Consider the following 17657-nt stretch of genomic DNA (forward strand, 5'->3'; position numbering starts at 1 on the left):
ATGAGGTTGTAGTTATTCATTCAACTGTGTGAACATATGATGCATTTTCCAGTGCCCTTCTCAAAGGACATTTGGGTAATTCCAGAAACACTAGGATTGGGTGCTACACATTCTTGTGTACCTTATTTGTGCATTAGTGGAAGGAGTAGAATTCCTGGAGTATGTTATAGGTCTTTTCATTGTTACAATATAATGCCAAGGTGTAACGGCATTTTCTAATTCTATAGCAATTTTCACTTCTACCAGCAGTGTATTGGAGTTCTGTTGTTCCACAAACTTGCCGAAACTTAATTTTGCCTTAGGTTTTAATTTTTGGCTGCCTACAGGGAAATGAAATGACACCTCATTGTGATTTTGCTTTTCTCTGATTAAAGAAGTAAAACATCTTTTCAAATATTCACTTTTTGTGAAATACCTCTTTCTTTTTTCTTTTTTTTTTTTTTTTTTTTTGAGGCGGAGTTTCGCTCTGTCGCCCGGGCTGGAGTGCAGTGGCGCGATCTCGACTCACTGCAAGCTCCGCCTCCTGGGTTCACGCCATTCTCCTGCCTCAGCCTCCCGTGTAGCTGGGACTACAGGCGCGCGCCACCACGCCCGGCTAATTTTTGTATTTTTAGTAGAGACGGGGTTTCACCGTGTTAGCCAGGATGGTCTCGATCTCCTGACCTCGTGATCCGCCCGTCTCGGCCTCCCAAAGTGCTGGGATTACAGGCGTGAGCCACCGCACCCGGCCTCTTTTTTCTTTCTTTGTTTTTGAGACGGAGTTTCACTCTTGTTGCCCAGGCTGGAGTGCAATGGCGAGATCTCAGCTCACTGCAACATCTGCCTCCTGAGTTCAAACGATTCTCCTGCCTCAGCCTCCCAAGTAGCTGGTATTACAGGCGCCCACCACCACACCCAGATAATTTTTTGTATTTTTGGTAGAGACAGGGTTTTGCCATGAACTCAGGTGATCTATCAGCCTCGGCCTACCGAAGTGTTGGGATTACAGGCGTGAGCTGCCACGCCCGGCCTTTTTTCTTAACAGATTGCTTCTTATTTATATTCTTTACATATATTTGTATGCTAAACCTTTTTTAGTTACGTAAGTGTCAAATACCTCAATTTGTGGTTTGTTTCTGTCACTGCTAGGCAGAATAGAATAACGGGTCTGCATGTGTAATCATGCAGCTTCAATATAAAAGGTATCTTAATAAACAGATGTTTATAATTTTATCTATAAAATTTTGTCTTGATCCTTTTGTTTATTGTGACTGCCTTGTGGTCTTGTCTAAGAAACCCTTCTGTACCCTAAAGTCATGGACATAATCTCTTATATTTTCTTCTCAAAGGTTTATAGTTTTGCTTTTCACATTTAAGCCTTTATTCTACCAGGAATTGATGGTTTGTATATGGTGTGAGGCAGGAAACCAGTTTTCATTTTTTTTCATATCAAACACTTGTCCCAGGTTCATGTATTTATAGGACCTTTCCCCTACTGATATAATGCGAGCCATCATAAATCAAGTTTACTTATACATATAGGCATACGTTTATTTCTTGGCTCTTTTCTCAGTCCCATTGACCTATTTGTCTATTCCTGTGCTGATACTACCTGTCTTGATAATTATAGCCATAACTTTGTTATAAATCTTACTATTTTCTGACTGTTGTTTATGTACAGAAACATGATGCTTAATGATTTTGTATCTAAATTACCTTATTAATTTAAATAATTTACTTTGCAGATTTTGGGGACTTTGCTGCATAGCCATTCATATCATCTGCAAATGGTGACAGTCTAGTTTCTCCCTGTCTAATCCTTTTTTTTGAGAAAGGGTCTTGCTCTGTCACCCAGGCTGGAGTGCAGTGGCGCAATCTCTGCTCACTGCAACCTCCACCTCCCGAAATCAAGTGATTCTCCTGCCTCAGCCTCCCGAGTAGCTGGGATTACTGGTGTGCACCACCATGCCCGGCTAATTTTTATATTTTTTTTAGAGATGGGGTTTTGCCATGTTAGCCAAGTGATCCTTGAGAGCCTCGGCCTCTCAAAGTCCTGGGATTACAGGCGAGAGCCACCGTGCCCCCCACCACCCTCCCTGTCTAATCCTTATATCTTTTTTCTTTCTTTGCTCAGATTTCCAGCACCATGTTGACTAGAAGTGTTGACAGCAAGCATACTTATCTTGTTTATGATTATAAAGGGAATGCATTTCTTTTTATCATTAAGGTGTGATATTGCAGTCATTTAGATAAAATTGCTACATTTTTTTTTAAGTCACCATCTCCTAATAACTTCTAAGGCATGTTTTATAAACGAATCCTCAGGGAAGAGTTCTAGCTATCTCCCAAATAATTCTGTTCTTTTAAACCAAAAAATCTCCGTCTTATGTTTTTGTTAAAACTCTTTATTTTGGATTTACATTTACTTACAGGATTTAATGATCCATAACTGTGGGTCTTCAGAGTCCAAGCCTTTGTGAAATAAAATTTCATGGAACATGAAAAAAAAAATATGGTATTAGCTACAGTTATACCCTTTTTGGGTTAAGGAAGTCTGTTTCTATGTAGAGTTTTGGGATTTTGTTTTGTTTTTGTTTATGTATTTGTATTTGTTTTTTAATGATGAATAAATCTTGAAGTTTACTTAATTGATTTTTCTTTGTCTTACTGAGGTGTTCTTCGTCTTACTGAGGTGTTTATCATTTTCTGCTTTAATCTGTTGAGGTGGTAAATTACAGATTTTTCTGATAGTGAATCACTTGCATTCCTAGAAAATATTCCAAAGGATCATAGTGATTATATTTTTAAATATAATGTTGTATTTGTTGTGCTTATATTTTGTTTAGAAATTGGCCTGTAATTTTCTTCTATTATACACTGAAACCCCTGCCTCCCGGGTTCAAGTTATTCTTCTGCCTCAGCCTCCGGAGTAGCTGGGATTACAGGCACACGCCACCACTCCCAGCTAATTTTTGTATTTTTAGTAGAGACAGGGTTTCACCATATTGGCCAGGCTGATCTCAAACTTCTGACCTCGTGATATGCCTGCCTTGGCCTCCCAAAGTGCTGGCATTACAGGTGTGAGCCACCGCGCCCAGCCTTCCCTGGTTTTAATATTAAGGTTATTCTAGCCTCATATAATGTACTGGGGATTCTACTCACTCTTTTCCCTTCTTTGTTAGATTTTGTTTAAGATTGGAATTATTTGTTCCTTGAGGGTTTGTTACAACTCACCTGCAAAACTGTCTAGACCTGTTCTTCTCTTCGAGGGAAGACTTTAAATTACTTGTTTAACTTCTATAATGGTTATTATTATATTTATCAGGTTTCCTCTTAAGTCAGTTTTGGTAAGTTAACTTTTTCTGGAAAGGTTTCCATTTTGTATTGTTTCAATATATAGGCATAAAGTTTCTGGTATTTTTTTAAAATTTTCTGCTCTCCATATAATATGTACTCTCTTTTTCTCATATTATCTATTTTGCTTTCTCTTGTTTTTTTATAGTAGCCTTACCAAAGCTTTTACAACACTTTCAGTCTTTTTTTGTCTTTTTTTTTTTTTTTTTTTTTTTTTTTTGAGACAAAGTCTTGCTCTGTCGCCCAGGCTGGAGCGCAGTGGTGCGATCTTGGCTCACTGCAACCTCCACCTCCCGGGTTCTAGTGATTCTCCTGCCTCAGCCTCATAGCTGGAATTACAGGCGTGCACCACCATGTCTGGCTAATTTTTGTGTTTTTAGTAGAGACGAGGTTTCACCATGTTGGCCAGGCTGGAACACTTTCAGTCTTTTCAGAGCACCAACCTTTGTTTATTGTTGATCTTCTTTGTTATAAGTTATGCAAAGGATATTTATTGTACAACATGGTGACTATAGTTAATATCAGTGTATTGTATACTTGAAAATTGCTGAAAGTAGATTTTAAATTTTCTCATCACAAATAATAGATATGTGAGTTAAGGCATATATTAGCTTGATTTAGCTATTTCACAATATATACATATTTGAAAACATGCTGTACACCATAAATGTATATAATATTTATCAATTAAAAAATGAAGACTATATTGAAAGTTATTTTTACATTGTAAATTATGTTTTTATTCATTTTTTTCTTATTATCTTATTTTTCCATTTTCCGTGGTTTTTTTTTTAAACATGCAAATGGTGCATCTCACATAAACAGCATATGGCTTGTTTCCGGTTTGTTTGTATGGGGGTTTTTGTTGTTTTGCAGACTAATAGTCTCTTTACCCTTATAATTACTGATAAAATTACATTCCTCTGTTCAGACTCGTGGGTCTGTGTGTGTGTGCACATGCATGCACAGGTATGTGTGTTTTGGGTGGGATTTTGATTTTGATAAAACCTATAAAGATTTTGATTTTGATAAACATAAAGACTTTTGTATAGTCAGTATGTTAAAGCATTTTCTCTGTATTCTTATCTCCCACTTTACTTCTGGGAACACTTTTTTCTTTTTTCTGAGAGACAGAGTCTTGTCCTGTCACCAGGATAGAGAGCAGTAGTGCAGTCATAGCTCATTACACCCTTGATCTCCAGGACACAAGCCATACTCCCGCCTCAGCCTTCTGCCAAGTAGCTAAGACTATAGGCACCACCGTCATGCAGTCATGCCCAGCTAATCTTTCATTATTTTTATTCATTTGTCTCTATGCGTTTTTCTGTATAATTTCTTTGCAACTTTATTCCAGATTATAAATTCTCTTTTCAATTGTATTTATTCTGCTATTTGGCCTTTTTTTTTTTTTTTTTGAGACGGAATCTCACTCTGTCGCCCAGGCTGGAGTGCAGTGGCACAGTCTTGGCTCACTGCAAACTCTGCCTCCTGGGTTCAAGTGATTCTCCTGCCTCAGCCTCCTGAGTAGCTGGGATTACAGGCACCCTCCACCACACCCAGCTAATTTTTGTATTTCAAGTAGAGACGCAGTTTCACCAGATTGGCCTGGCTGGTCTTGAACCCCTGACCTCAGGTGATCCACCTGCCTCAGCCTCCCAAATTGCTAGGATTACAGGTGTGAGCCACAATGCCCGGCCAGCTATTTGGCCTTTTTATTGAGTTTTAGGTTTGTTATTTCTGAATTTCCGTGTTTTTCTTTCTTTTTTTTGGCCTAATTTTTCTTTTTCTTTTCTTTTCTTTTCTTTTTTTTATTTTTTTTTTATTTTTTATACAGAGTCTTGCTCTGTTGCCCTGGCTGGAGTGTAGTGGCGTGATCTCACTCACTGCAACCTCTGCTGCCCTGGTTCAAGCGATTGTCTTGCCTCAGCCTCCCAAGTAGCTGGGATTACAGGTGCCCACCACCACGCCCAGCTAATTTTTTGTATTTTTGGTAGAGATGGGGTTCCACCTTATTGGCTAGGCTGGTCTGGAACTCCTGACCTCAAGTAATCTTCCTAATTTGGCCTCCCAAAGTGCTGGAATTATAGGTGTGAGCCACTGTGCCCAGCCTAAAAAAAACTTGCAAAGCCAAAAGTAATTAAGCAAAAAGAGATGATGAAAAATGATTAGGCTGGCTGGGCACGGTGGCTCATGCCTGTAATCCCAGCACTTTGGGAGGCCAAGGCGGGTGGGTCACCTGAGGTCAGGTGTTCAAGACCAGCCTGGCCTACATGGTGAAACCCCATCTCTACTAAAAATACAAAAATTAACTGGGCATGGTGGCACATGCCTGTAATCCCAGCTATTGGGAGGCTGAGGCAGGAGAATCGCTTGATCCCGGGAGGTGGAGGTTGCAGTGAGCTGAGATCACACCACTGCACTCCAGCCTGGGTGACAGAGCAAGCCTCCATCTCAAAAAAAAAGAAAAAAAAAAAAGATGCTTAGGGATTTTTGGAAGATGCAGCTAGTGTGTAGTTAGGCCTAAACACGGGTGTGGGTCAGTCAGTGGCTTCAGAATCTCAGAGGGGCTTCTTTTTTTCACATCTTCACTCAGAACCAAGGTTAAAGTAGATACTTTTTCTTCCTTAACTGTCTTTCTTCTAGTTCCTTGCTATTTGGAACAGCATCATAAGCATCACCTGGGAGCTTGTTAAAAATGCAAGAATCACAAGTCCCACCTAGAACTACTCAGAATCTGCATTTTAACAAAATCCCCCAGGTGGTTTTTATCTATGTTTTAAATCTTTCAGCTGGGTGCGGTGGCTCACACCCATAATCCCAGCACTTTGGGAGGCAAGAGGATCACTTGAGTTCAGGAGTTTAAGACCAGCCTGGGCAACATAGTGAGACCCCCATCTCTACAAAAAATAAAATTAGCTGGGCATGGTGTTGTGTGGCTGTAGTCCCAGCTGCTGAGGAGGCTGAGGCAGGAAGATGGTTTGAGTCCAGGAGATCAAGACTACTGTGAGCCATGATTCTGCCACTACACTCAAGACTGGGCAACAGAGCAAGACCCTTGTTTCAAAAAACAACAAAAATCTTCCAGTTCACTTTCTTTTCTCAGTATGTGAGCCTCCCTGAGTCCTGGCTTCTCCTGCGCTTTCTGTTTAGCTTGAGTTTAAGAGACTGTCATCTCCCTGCTGTCCTGAAAGCTCTGTATCCTACGATCTAGGCAAGAAAGACACAAGAAGGCTTTGCACCATGGCTTATGCCTGTAATCGCAATACTTTGGGAGACCAAAGCAGGCAGATCACTTGAGGTCAGGAGTTCGATACAAGCCTGGCCAACATGGCGAAACCCTATCTCTATTAAAAATACAAAAATTAGCTCAGCGTATTGGTGGGTGCCTGTAATCCCATCTACTCGGGAGGCTGAGGCACAAGAATCACTTGAACCCTGGAAGTGGAGGTTGCGATGAGCTGAGATCGTGCCACTGCACTCCAGCCTGGGGGACAGAGTGAGACTCTGTCTGAAAAAAAAAAGGACCCTCCTGGTCAACATGGTGAAATCCCGTGTCTACTGAAAATACAAAAACTTAGCTGTGTGTGGTGGCTAATTTTTTTTTGTCTCTGTTCAAAAAAAAAAAAAAAGACGCAATAAGTGTAGCCATTTCACTTTGTGTTCACCTCACTGGACTGTCTTCAGTTTATCATTATTTACTTTCGTAAAGGTTCTATCTCTGATTTAGAAGATGTTTGATTTTGTTTTACCTTTTTAGGTGTTTTATAGCTGTAGAGTTTTGGCATTTCTGATTTATCAAATTACCAGAAACAAAAGTTTTGAGTTGTGTGTTGTTTTTGTATATGTGTGTGTGTGTGTGTGAGAGAGAGAGAGTCATTCTTTTGCTTTTATTATTTCTTCTTTTAGAAGGTTTTCTTCTTGTCTATTATGTCCATGTAAACACAATTCTAAATAGGTTTGGATAAAGTCAAACCACCCCTTGAAGTAGAAGAGATGGGCTTTATGGTTGTTATTTCATGATGTTGTTAAAAGAGGCTTTTGTTTTAAGTTTGTCAGCTATTTCCCGTGTAGTCGAGGTAGTCAAAAGTCTGCTGATAGCCAAAATGTAATCCTAACATGAATACAGTTACTATTGCTCAACACCTACTGTTTAATAGGCAGAATTAACAGGAGTGGTCCTTGGGCTTAGCTCCTCATCTGACACGCCCTTGTTTCTTTTGCTCTGCCTTTGAAGCTACTTGTATGTGCTTCACTACCAACACCCCTGGCAGGCTGATGTGCACACACTTGTGTCGAAAGCTGTAAAGCCTGCAGGTGCCAAGGAGCACAGTGTCCCATCTTACCTTGTACTGTACAGAAATGAGGGGCATTATCTTCCCCCGTGTTCTGTCACACTGTTACCTGACTACAAAAATAGTTCTGTTTATGTTTCCAACGGCCTCAGAGTCCCTTGAGAAAACTGGTCTTTCAACTTTTCCTTGTAAACCCTCTTTCTACAGATAAAGTCCTTCAGAAGTCTGCAAGGTCATATTAGGGACCAGTTTCTCCAACTTACACTTTGCTCCTCCTCGCTTTCCCCAAGACACAGTTTTCTGTTCTTCACCAGAAACCCTTACACAAATTAACTTATACATCCCAGAGTTAGGCTCAAGTTATTGATGCACTTGCTCAATGTGTACACATACACAGATATACACATATTTATCTTAACCACTTGTATGCATATGTGTTTGTGTCTATTTCTTTAAACAAGGTAGGGTTATGTAGTGATGACTAGAATATGAGAAAAATATGTGTAATGAAAAAACATTCTAATATGTAATGCTGTCAAAAGCTTACAGATAATTCCATCAAACTAAAAATAAATACTGTTTATCACTATCCTAAAGGCATAAATTGTCCCGTTTACTCAGCAATCTCATGTGACAGGTACTGTAATTTTTCTGTTTACAGGGAAGGAAACAAAAAGGGTAACTTGACCAACATCCAACACCTAGTAAGTGGTTGCATTTGTTTCCTATTGCTGCTGTAACATATTACCACAAATTTGGTGGCTTAACACATTTTACAGGTTTGGAGGTCAGGAGTCTGGAAGGGGTCTCACTGAGCTAGAACCAGGGAGTTAGCAGGGCTGTGTTCCTTCTGGAGGCCACATACATTTCCTTCTCTCTTTTAGCTTCTAGAGGCTGCCCACATTCCTTGGCTTGCCCCCTTCCTCCATCTTCAAAGCCAGCAACATCGGGTCTGGTCTGTCTTCCAACCCTGTCTTCCCTTTCAAAGGACCCTTGTGGTTACATTGACCCACCCCATAATCCTGGATAACCTCCCTATTTTAAGGTCATCTGATTAGCCACCTTAATTCTGTCTGCTACCAAAATTCTTCACCGTGTAACCAAACCTATTCACAGATTCTGGGTATTGGATTCTGATTATCTTTGAGGCCATTATTCTGTTTGCTACAGAGGTGTAGCTAGAACTTGTACTCAAATTGATCTGCTTCTAAAAGCAATTTCTTTAGGAAGCTGGAAACCCCTAACGCTGAGATCACTTTTTTCCCTGTGGTTTTGCCCTTGCTGAATATTATCTCAATGAGGGTTTGGATAACTTTTATAGCATAGAAAGTTCAACTCTTTTTAGAAACTAGAGAGAAAATGATGTCATTTACGCATTGCAGACACCCAGTACATTTTAAAATCCGAAGTTTTATTTTAGATTCAGGGAGTACACGTGCAGGTTTGTTACCTGGGTATATGTGTGATGCTGAGATTTGGGATACGAATAATCCCATCACCCAGGTAATGAGCATAGTACCTAAAAGTTAGTTTTTCAACCCTTGCATCCCCTTCTTCCCTCCCTGACAGTCGTACCCAGTTTGTATTGTTGCCTTCTTTATGTTCTTGAGTATCCAGTGTTTCACTCTATAGAATTAGAAAATTATATGTGAGAATATGCAATATTTGGTTTTCTGTTCCTGCATTAGTTCACTTAGAATAATGGCCTCCAGCTGCATCCATGTTGCAGCAAAGGACATGATTTCATTATTTTTATGGTTGCATAGTATTCCATGGTATATATGTACCACATTTTCTTTATCCAGTCCACCATTGATGAGCACCTAGGTTGATTCCATGTCTTTGCTATTGTGAATAGTGCTGCAGTGAACATGCAAGCGCATGTGTCTTTCTGGTGTGAAAAATGAGTAGTTTTCTTTTGGGTATATACCAGTAACAGGATTGCTGGGTCAAATGATAGTTCTGTTTTAAGTACTTTGAGAAATCTCCAAACTGTTTTCCACAGTGGCTGAACTAAGATACATTCCCACTAGCAGTGTATACGCATTCCCTCTTCTCTACAGCCTCACCAGCATCTGTTGTTTTTTAACTTTTTAATAATAGCCATTCTGACTGATGTGACATGGTCTCTCATTATGAGTTTAATTTGCATTTATCTACCAATTCGTGATGTGGAGCATTTTTTAATATGTTTGTTGGCCGCTTATATGTCTTCTTTTGAGAAGTGTCTCTTCATGTCTGTTGTCCATTTTTTAGTGCGGTTGTTGTTTGCTTGTTGAGTTGTTTAAGTTCCTTATAGATTCTGGATATGAGACTTTTCTCAGATGTGTAGTTTGCAAATATTTTCTCCCATCCTGTAGGTTGTATGTTTACTCTGTTGAGCGTTTCTTTTGCTCTACAAAAGCTTTTTAGTTTAATTAAGTCCCATTTGTCAATTTGTTGTTGTTGTTGTTGTTGCAGTTGCTTTTGAGGACTTAGTCATAAATTATTTCCCAAGACCAATGTCCAGAAGAGTGTTTCCGAGGTTTTCTTCTAGGATTCTTACAGTTTGAGGTCTTACATTTAAATCTTTAATCCATCTCGAGTTAATTTTTGTATGTGGTGACAAATAGGGGTCCAGTTTCATTGTTCTGCACATAGCTGCCAACTATCCCAGCACCATTTATCAAATAGGGACTTCTTTCCCCATAAAACAATCTTTTTTTAGAGACATGGTCTCACTATGTTACCCAGACTAGAATTGAGCTCCTGGGCTCAAGGAATCCTCCCTCTTCAGCCTCCTGCATAACTGAGACTACGGGTGCATGCCACCATGCCCAACTTGATGTATTCTTAAATTAGTTGACAGGAAAAGAGGACCTTGATTAGGATTTAAATGTAGCCACTTCTGACTTTTAGAGATTTGAATACTAAATATTGTCATTGAAAAGTTTGTACTACTAAGTTACTCTTAATATTTGAACTCCTGGTTTTTTGGCATTGCTTCAGATAGGAATTAATGTTTTAATATAAGTTTCTGCAATATTGATAACAATTAACTAATTTATTTCATAGCCCTTCTTTTCAAACTGGTGGTCTTCCAGGAAGGGAAATGGCTGGAGAGGAAGGAAGAATTTTCACTCTGCGTCCTTTTGTACTTTTTGAACTTTGAGAAATGTGAATGTATAAACTAAAAACAAATAAATAAAATTTTATAAATGTTTAAAGTGGAATAAATGAACAGCTCCTATTTTTCTATTATCTCCACTCTTCTAGGATCACCCCTTCTGTGTCATTCTCTGAGGAAAACAAGTTCTTCTCAAGGAGGAAAGTCTGAACTTGTCAAACAGTCCCTTAAGAAGCCGAAGTTACCAGAAGGTCGTTTTGATGCACCAGAGGATTCCCATTTAGAGAAAGAACCACTGGAAAGTAAGTATAATAAAGCACCTCTCAGTTTTTGAAGTATCAAGGAAAGTGTTTTAGTTATTGAGAAAATGAGTGAAAGGAAAGAAATTTGTTATTGCTTAAATTCTGTAGTAATAAAGCATATTTCAACAATGAGTAAAATCACCATATTGACCATCGATACATGTAGATTTCTTAATAAAAAAGATTTTCAAGATTCTGACAGGTATTTGATTGTGTTTGTTTTATTTGTTATACCTCATTATTCACATAACAAAATATATAAGTTGAGACCTTCTTTGTTACAAATAAATGATGTTATTTGTATCAAAGAAGGTTATGTTATTTGTATCAAAGATCTTATGTGAATAATGAGGTATAATAAATATAACCACTTTATATATGTAATGTACACATATTATATATAAAGGACTCCAATAACTCAACGAAAAGTCAAAAATAGCAAAGCACTTGAGTCTTAACTTATATATTTTGCTATATGAATAATGAGGTATGATAAATAAATAACAAATATATGTGTATATTATATGTATGTGTGTGTGTGTGTAGAACTCCAGTAATCTACAAAAAATAAAAATAAAAAATAGCAAAGTATTTGAGTAGACATTTCTCCAGAGAAGGTATACAAATGTACAAATGGCCAACAAACACATGAAAAGATGCTCAGCATCAGCATCATTATCATTAGGGAAATGCAAATCAAAACTATGAGATACTACTTCATACCCACTAGGATGGCTATAATAGAAAAAAATGGAAAATAACAAGTGTTGGGAAGGATGTGGAGAAATTGAAACCCTCAGGCATTTCTGCTGGGAATGTAAAATGTTGCAGCCACTGTGGAAAACAGTATGGCCGTTCCTCAAAAAATCAAACTTAGAACTACCGTTTGACCCAGCAGTTCCACTCTTAGGTGTGTATCTAAAGGAATTGAAAGCAGGGACTTGAACAGATATCTCTGTAACTATGTTCATAGTATTATTAACAGTAGCCAAAAGGTGGAAACAACCCAATGTTCACAAACAAATGAATCATTAAACAAAATGTGGCATATACATCCGGTGGAAAACTATTCAGTCATAAAAAGCAATTAAATTTTAATATATGCTACAACATGGATGGACCTTGAAAACATTATGTTTAGTGAAATAAGCTGGACCCAGAAGGGCAAATATATGATTCCACTTATATAAGGTACCTAGAATAGGCAAATTCATAGAGACAGAAAGTAGAATAGAGGCTATCAGGGACTCCGGGGACTAAGGGAGAAGTCATTGTTTAGTGGGTACAGAGTTCATTGTGGGGATGATGAAAATGTTTTAGGTATAGATAGTGGTGATGGTTGTACAACCTTGTGAATATATTTTTGTTGTTGTTTTTGTTTTTGAAATGGAGTCTCACTCTTTCACCTAGGCTGGAGTGCAGTGGCACACTCTCGGCTCACTGCAACCTCCGCCTCCCAGGTTCATGTAATACTCCTGTCTCAGCCTCCCGAGTAGCTGGGATTACAGGCACACCACCACACTGGCTCATTGTTGTATTTTTAGTAGAGATGGGGGTTTCACCATGTTGGCCAGGCTGGTCTTGAACTCCTGACCTCAAGTGACCAACCCCCCTCGGCCTCCCAAAGTGCTGGGATTACAGGCGTGAGCCACTGTGTCTGGCAGTGAATGTATTTAATACTACCAAATTGTACACTTACAAATGGTTAAATGAGAAATATTATGTTATATATATTTTACCACAGTAAAAAAAAAAGAAAGCAAAAACCTGCACTTTTCAAAAGCTAATCATCTATTTGACATAATGGTAGGCATTCAACGTAAGTCTTGTATCACTCAAGTTTATGTTGAACCTACCATCCCTTAGAAATTTCTGACAAACATCACCAAATACAGCAGGTACTCTTCAATCCTTGTTTTATTTGAACAATCCACAACCTTTGACAGTGTTAACTATTGCTTCTGGAAATCTCCTGCCTTGATTTCCATTATGCTTTCATTAGTTTCATTTTTGTGTGTGTATGTATGTGTGTGTGTGTTGTTTTGTTTTGTTTTGTTGAGACAGGGTCTTGCTCTGTTGCCCAGGCTAAAGTGCAGTGGCATGAACACATGGCTCACTGCAGCCTTAACCTTCCCAGCTCAAACTGTCCTCCTGCCTCAGTCTCCTGAGTAAGTGAGACCACAGGCACATACCACCATGCTCACCTAATTTAAAAAATTTTTTTGTAGAGATGAGGTCTTGCCATGTTACCCAGGCTGGCCTCAACTCCTGGGCTCAAGCAGTCCTTCTGCCTCGGCCTCCCAAAGTGCTGGGATTACAAGTATGAGCCACCATTCCTGGCATGCTTTCTTTAGTTTCTCACCCTATTTCTTCACCAGTTTCTTCCTGGGCTCCTTTTTGAGCTCCTCTGCCTCCGCCCAACACCTAAATGTGGGTATTTGCCAGGCCTCTGTTCTTAGCCCCCTAAGTATTCCAAGGGAGATTTCATATTTCCCTAAAATGATTAGATTTATTTGATTGATTGAGGCAGAGTCTCACTCTGTCACCCAGGCTGAAGTGCAGTGGCGCCATCACAGCTCACTGCACCCTCAACCTCCTGGGGTTCCCTACTCAGCCTCTCCTGTAACTGGGGCTACAGGCACGCACCACCACACCTGGCTAATTTTTCTATTTGTTTCTTTAAGAGATAGAGCTCAGTATGTTGCCCAGGCTGGTCTTGAACTCCTGGGCTCAAACGATCTTCCCACCTCAGCCTCCCAAAATGCTGAGATTACAGGCATGAGCCACCACGCCCGGCTTAAAATGATTTTAAATATCACCTATGTGTTGGTGATTCATACATTTATACCTCTAATCAGACCTCGTTCCTGAGCATCACTCTCCTGTCTCCATTTGCCTCCTGAGTATCTTTCTTTGCACATTCCAGAAGTCTCAAAATTAATATTTCTAAAACTAAAGTCATCGTGTACCCATTGTTCCAACTCACCTTCGGCCCTCCCACCTGCCTGATCTCATATCCTCCTCTTCCTTCGGGATTTCCAGTCCACCCCATCTACCAAGTCACCCAAGCCCGAAATCTGGGGATAATCTTTCACTCCTGCCTCTTCCTGTCTCCTGTGACTGATCACTAACCAAGTCCTGTTGCTTCTACCCTTTTAACATCTCTCAAATTTATTCCCTCTTACTCATCCTACCAGTAGGGCCCAAATTCAAGCTGTCTCTAGCTCCACTGGTCACCTAACAAGCCTCTCTGCTTCCTCGTTTCCTTCCTTCTAGTCTTGTCTCCCTGCCTCTAGTATGTACTTTATTCTAAGAAAACTGTGTAGGTTGTCTCCTTGAAAAGAGTAGATTTCATTATTAAGATCATAAAGGAAAATGTTTGTAGCTAGGCACCCTGCTTGACATAAAGATGAATAAGAAAGGAAGATGAGATAATGTAAATAACGATGAACAGGACATCATGTGGTAACTAGCATGAGAGATACACAAAAAGATCAGAGGAAAGTCGACAAAAGAGATAACGTTTGAGCTGGGGTCTAAGGAAAAATAATTTTTTGTTTTTTTGAGTTGGAGTCTCGCTCTGTCACCCAGGCTGGAGGACAATGGCGCAATTTCAGCTCACCGCAACCTCCGCCTCCCGGGTTCAAGCGATTCTCCTGCCTCAGCCTCCTGAGTAGCTGGGATTACAGGCGTCTGGCACCACACCTGGCTAATTTTTGTATTTTTAGTAGAAACGGGGTTTCACCATGTTGGTCAGGCTGGTCTCGAACTCCTGACCTCAGGTGATCCACCTGCCTTGGCCTTCCAAAGTGCTGAGGTTACAGGTGTGAGCCACCATGCCTGGCCGGAAAAGTAAAATTTTTATAAGTAGATAAGGTGTGGTGAGGAGACATTTCAAAATACCTGGAGAAAGCTATGGTCAAAGAGAAAGAGGCTGCAGAACATTAACACTTACAAGACACAGCTAATGGGCCTCTTTGGCTTCAGCATAAATTATATATATATTTGATTAATACAGGGTTGTCCAATCTCTTGGCTTCCCTGGGTCACATTGGAGGAAGAATTGTCTTAGGCCACACATAAAATACACTAACAACAGCTGATGAGCTAAACAAAAACAAAAACAAAACAAAACAAAAATCACACAAAAAAACTCAATGTTTTAAGAAAGTTTATGAATTTGTGTTGGGCCACATTCAAAGCCATCCTGGGCCACATGCAGCCCGTGGACTGTGGGTTAGACAGGCTTGGATTAATTGAATATAAAGCTAGACACACAGGTTCAGCTCAAATCTGGGAGGGCCTGAAATCCCAGGTTACAGTGTAAGGGCTTTATGCAGTGAGCAGTGAGGAAATGTATTTGGATAGAGGTTGTTTTAATTAGCTTTATTAAATATAGTCTGCATATGATAAAATTCACCCATGTTAAATATACAGTTGAGTGAGGTTGTTGTTGTTGTTGTTGTTGTTGTTGTTTGAGACGGAGTCTTGCTCTGTTGCCCAGGCTGGCTTGCAGTGGTATGATCTCGGCTCACTGCAACCTCTGCCTCGGGTTCAAGCGAGTCTCCTTCCTCAGCCTCCCTGGGATTACAGGCACCTGCCACCACACCCGGTTAATTTTTGTATTTTTAGTAGAGATGGGGTTTCACCATGTTAGCCAGGCTGGTCTCGAACTGCTGACCTCGTGATCCGCTCGCCTCGGCCTCCCACAGTGCTGGGGTTACAGGCATGAGCCACCACGCCTGGCTAGTGAGTTTTAACAAATGTTTACAGCCATGGAAACCACACAAAGTGTAAAATAGTTCTGTCCCCTAAAGAGGTACAAGGCAGTTCATCCTCTCCCCACCTCCTCCCAGCAACCATTGATCTGTTCTCTATCACTGTAGTTTTGCTTTTTCTAGGATTTTATATAAATGAAACTCTACAGTATGTAGTCTTTGGTGTCTGGTTCCTTTCACATAGTATAATGTGGAAGAGGGATTCTGTTGTATTAGTTCTAAAATGGGACACTGAGAGCAGGAACCAGGGTGGTAATGGTGAGAACAAAAAGTTTCAGAAAACTGCAGGCTATTATAAGGGCAAAAATTAGGTTAACAAATGTGAGGAAGAAGAGACATGGAAAGATACGAGGGTGTGGTCAGAAAGAAGAGTGCTCAAAAGAGTGTGGGATTTGGAGGAGGAACATACTCAAAAAATAATAAAGTCCAGTGGACAGCAGAAGTAGATACGAAAGTCATCAGGAAAGAGATTGGTGACCTTTGTGGCCTCGATGTGTGATGATTTACTAATGTGGATGTTGATATTAGGGATGATGGGGAGAGAGAGATGAAACTATGAACCAGATATTGATCCCATGCAAGAAGACAGAAGAATCTTGGAGTTTATTATAAGACTAGAGAAAAGCACTGGATAAGTAAATGGTATAGAATTCCAAAAAGGAAAGGCTATAGAGGTGTGGCATTAGAATGAGAGGCTGGAAATAGCAGTGAGGAGCAGGGACATCTTGACCTGTTCTTTCTTCCCCAGTGCTGTGGACTGAATTATGTTCCCCCAAAATTCATCTGTTGGAGCTCTAACCCCCCAGGTGATGGTATTTGGAGATGGGGCCTTTGGGAGATAATTAGGTTTAGATCATGAGAGTAAGGTAACTCTTTAAGAGATGGAACTGTTTTACACTTTGTGTTATTTACATGACTGTCAACATTTGTTAAAACTCACTGAACTGCGTACTTAAAATGGGTGAATTTTATTATAAGCAGACAATACTTTAATAAAGCTGATGGGAATCTCCTCATGGTGGGAATAATGCCCTTATAAGAAGAGATACCAGAGAGCTTGCTGTCTCTCTTTCTCTGCCATGTGAGGACACAGCAAGAAGCGACCATCTGTAAGCCAGGAAGAAAGCCCTCATGAGAACCAACCATGCTACCACCCTGATTTCAGCCTACCAGCCTCCAGAGCTGTAAGAAAATAAGTTTCTGCTGTTTACTCCACCTAGTCTATGGTATTTTGTTATGGCAGCTCAAGCTAAGACATCCAGTGAGCCACAGAGATATGTGAGAAAGAAGAACTTCCGTTAGAGAGGCCTTCAAGGGAATTCGTGGAGTAGGAAAAAGCCAACTTGCATTGCAGTAAAGCATGGAATTATTTTGAAAACAGAATGCTGATGAGTATGGGGGAGAGTTTATTCACAATATAACAAGAATAAAAGAATGAATATTTGAAAAATTTTCACGGTAAATTCTGTATCCTTTTTCTTTTGCCTGAGGGGCTTTATGATTTTGGTGAAGATCATTTAGTTTTCTAAAGAGATATAGTTTGGGTAATCATTCTCCTGCAGTTTCCCCGTGCTATGCAGGATAAAATAAAAGCCGTATGCCTTTTCTTCTGTTAATCTGTCTTTTGTCAGTTGATTTTTGGCAAACCTTTAGAGGGCAAGGAGGATGTTTTTCCTTGGCCCCTACACCTTCTCCCAGAGTCCAAGCAATGTGCTTCCTCAGTAGAACAGGTTTTAACATCTGTAAGTAGCTACGATGATGACCTCAGCAGAGAATACCCACCTTGAGGGAATGTGACACCCATGCCCCCAAAAGTCTAGTTGCCTTTTGGTCTGTGTCTCAGGAG

The 17657-nt window shown here is 40.0% G+C and overlaps 1 protein-coding gene across 2 annotated transcripts in view; it reads left to right on the plus strand.

Annotated features, from left to right (window-relative positions):
* Nucleotides 1-17657, plus strand: part of SDHAF4 (succinate dehydrogenase complex assembly factor 4) — a 31499-nt gene that overhangs the window by 1604 nt on the left and 12238 nt on the right. For both annotated transcript variants that reach the window (XM_047418210.1, NM_145267.3), the window contains exon 2: nt 10881-11033. In XM_047418210.1, coding sequence (XP_047274166.1) covers nt 10881-11033 — 153 coding nt within the window. The remainder of the gene's footprint in view (nt 1-10880; nt 11034-17657) is intronic.

This window comes from Homo sapiens, chromosome 6, assembly GCF_000001405.40.
Source record: "Homo sapiens chromosome 6, GRCh38.p14 Primary Assembly".
Taxonomy (NCBI): Eukaryota; Metazoa; Chordata; class Mammalia; order Primates; family Hominidae; genus Homo; species Homo sapiens.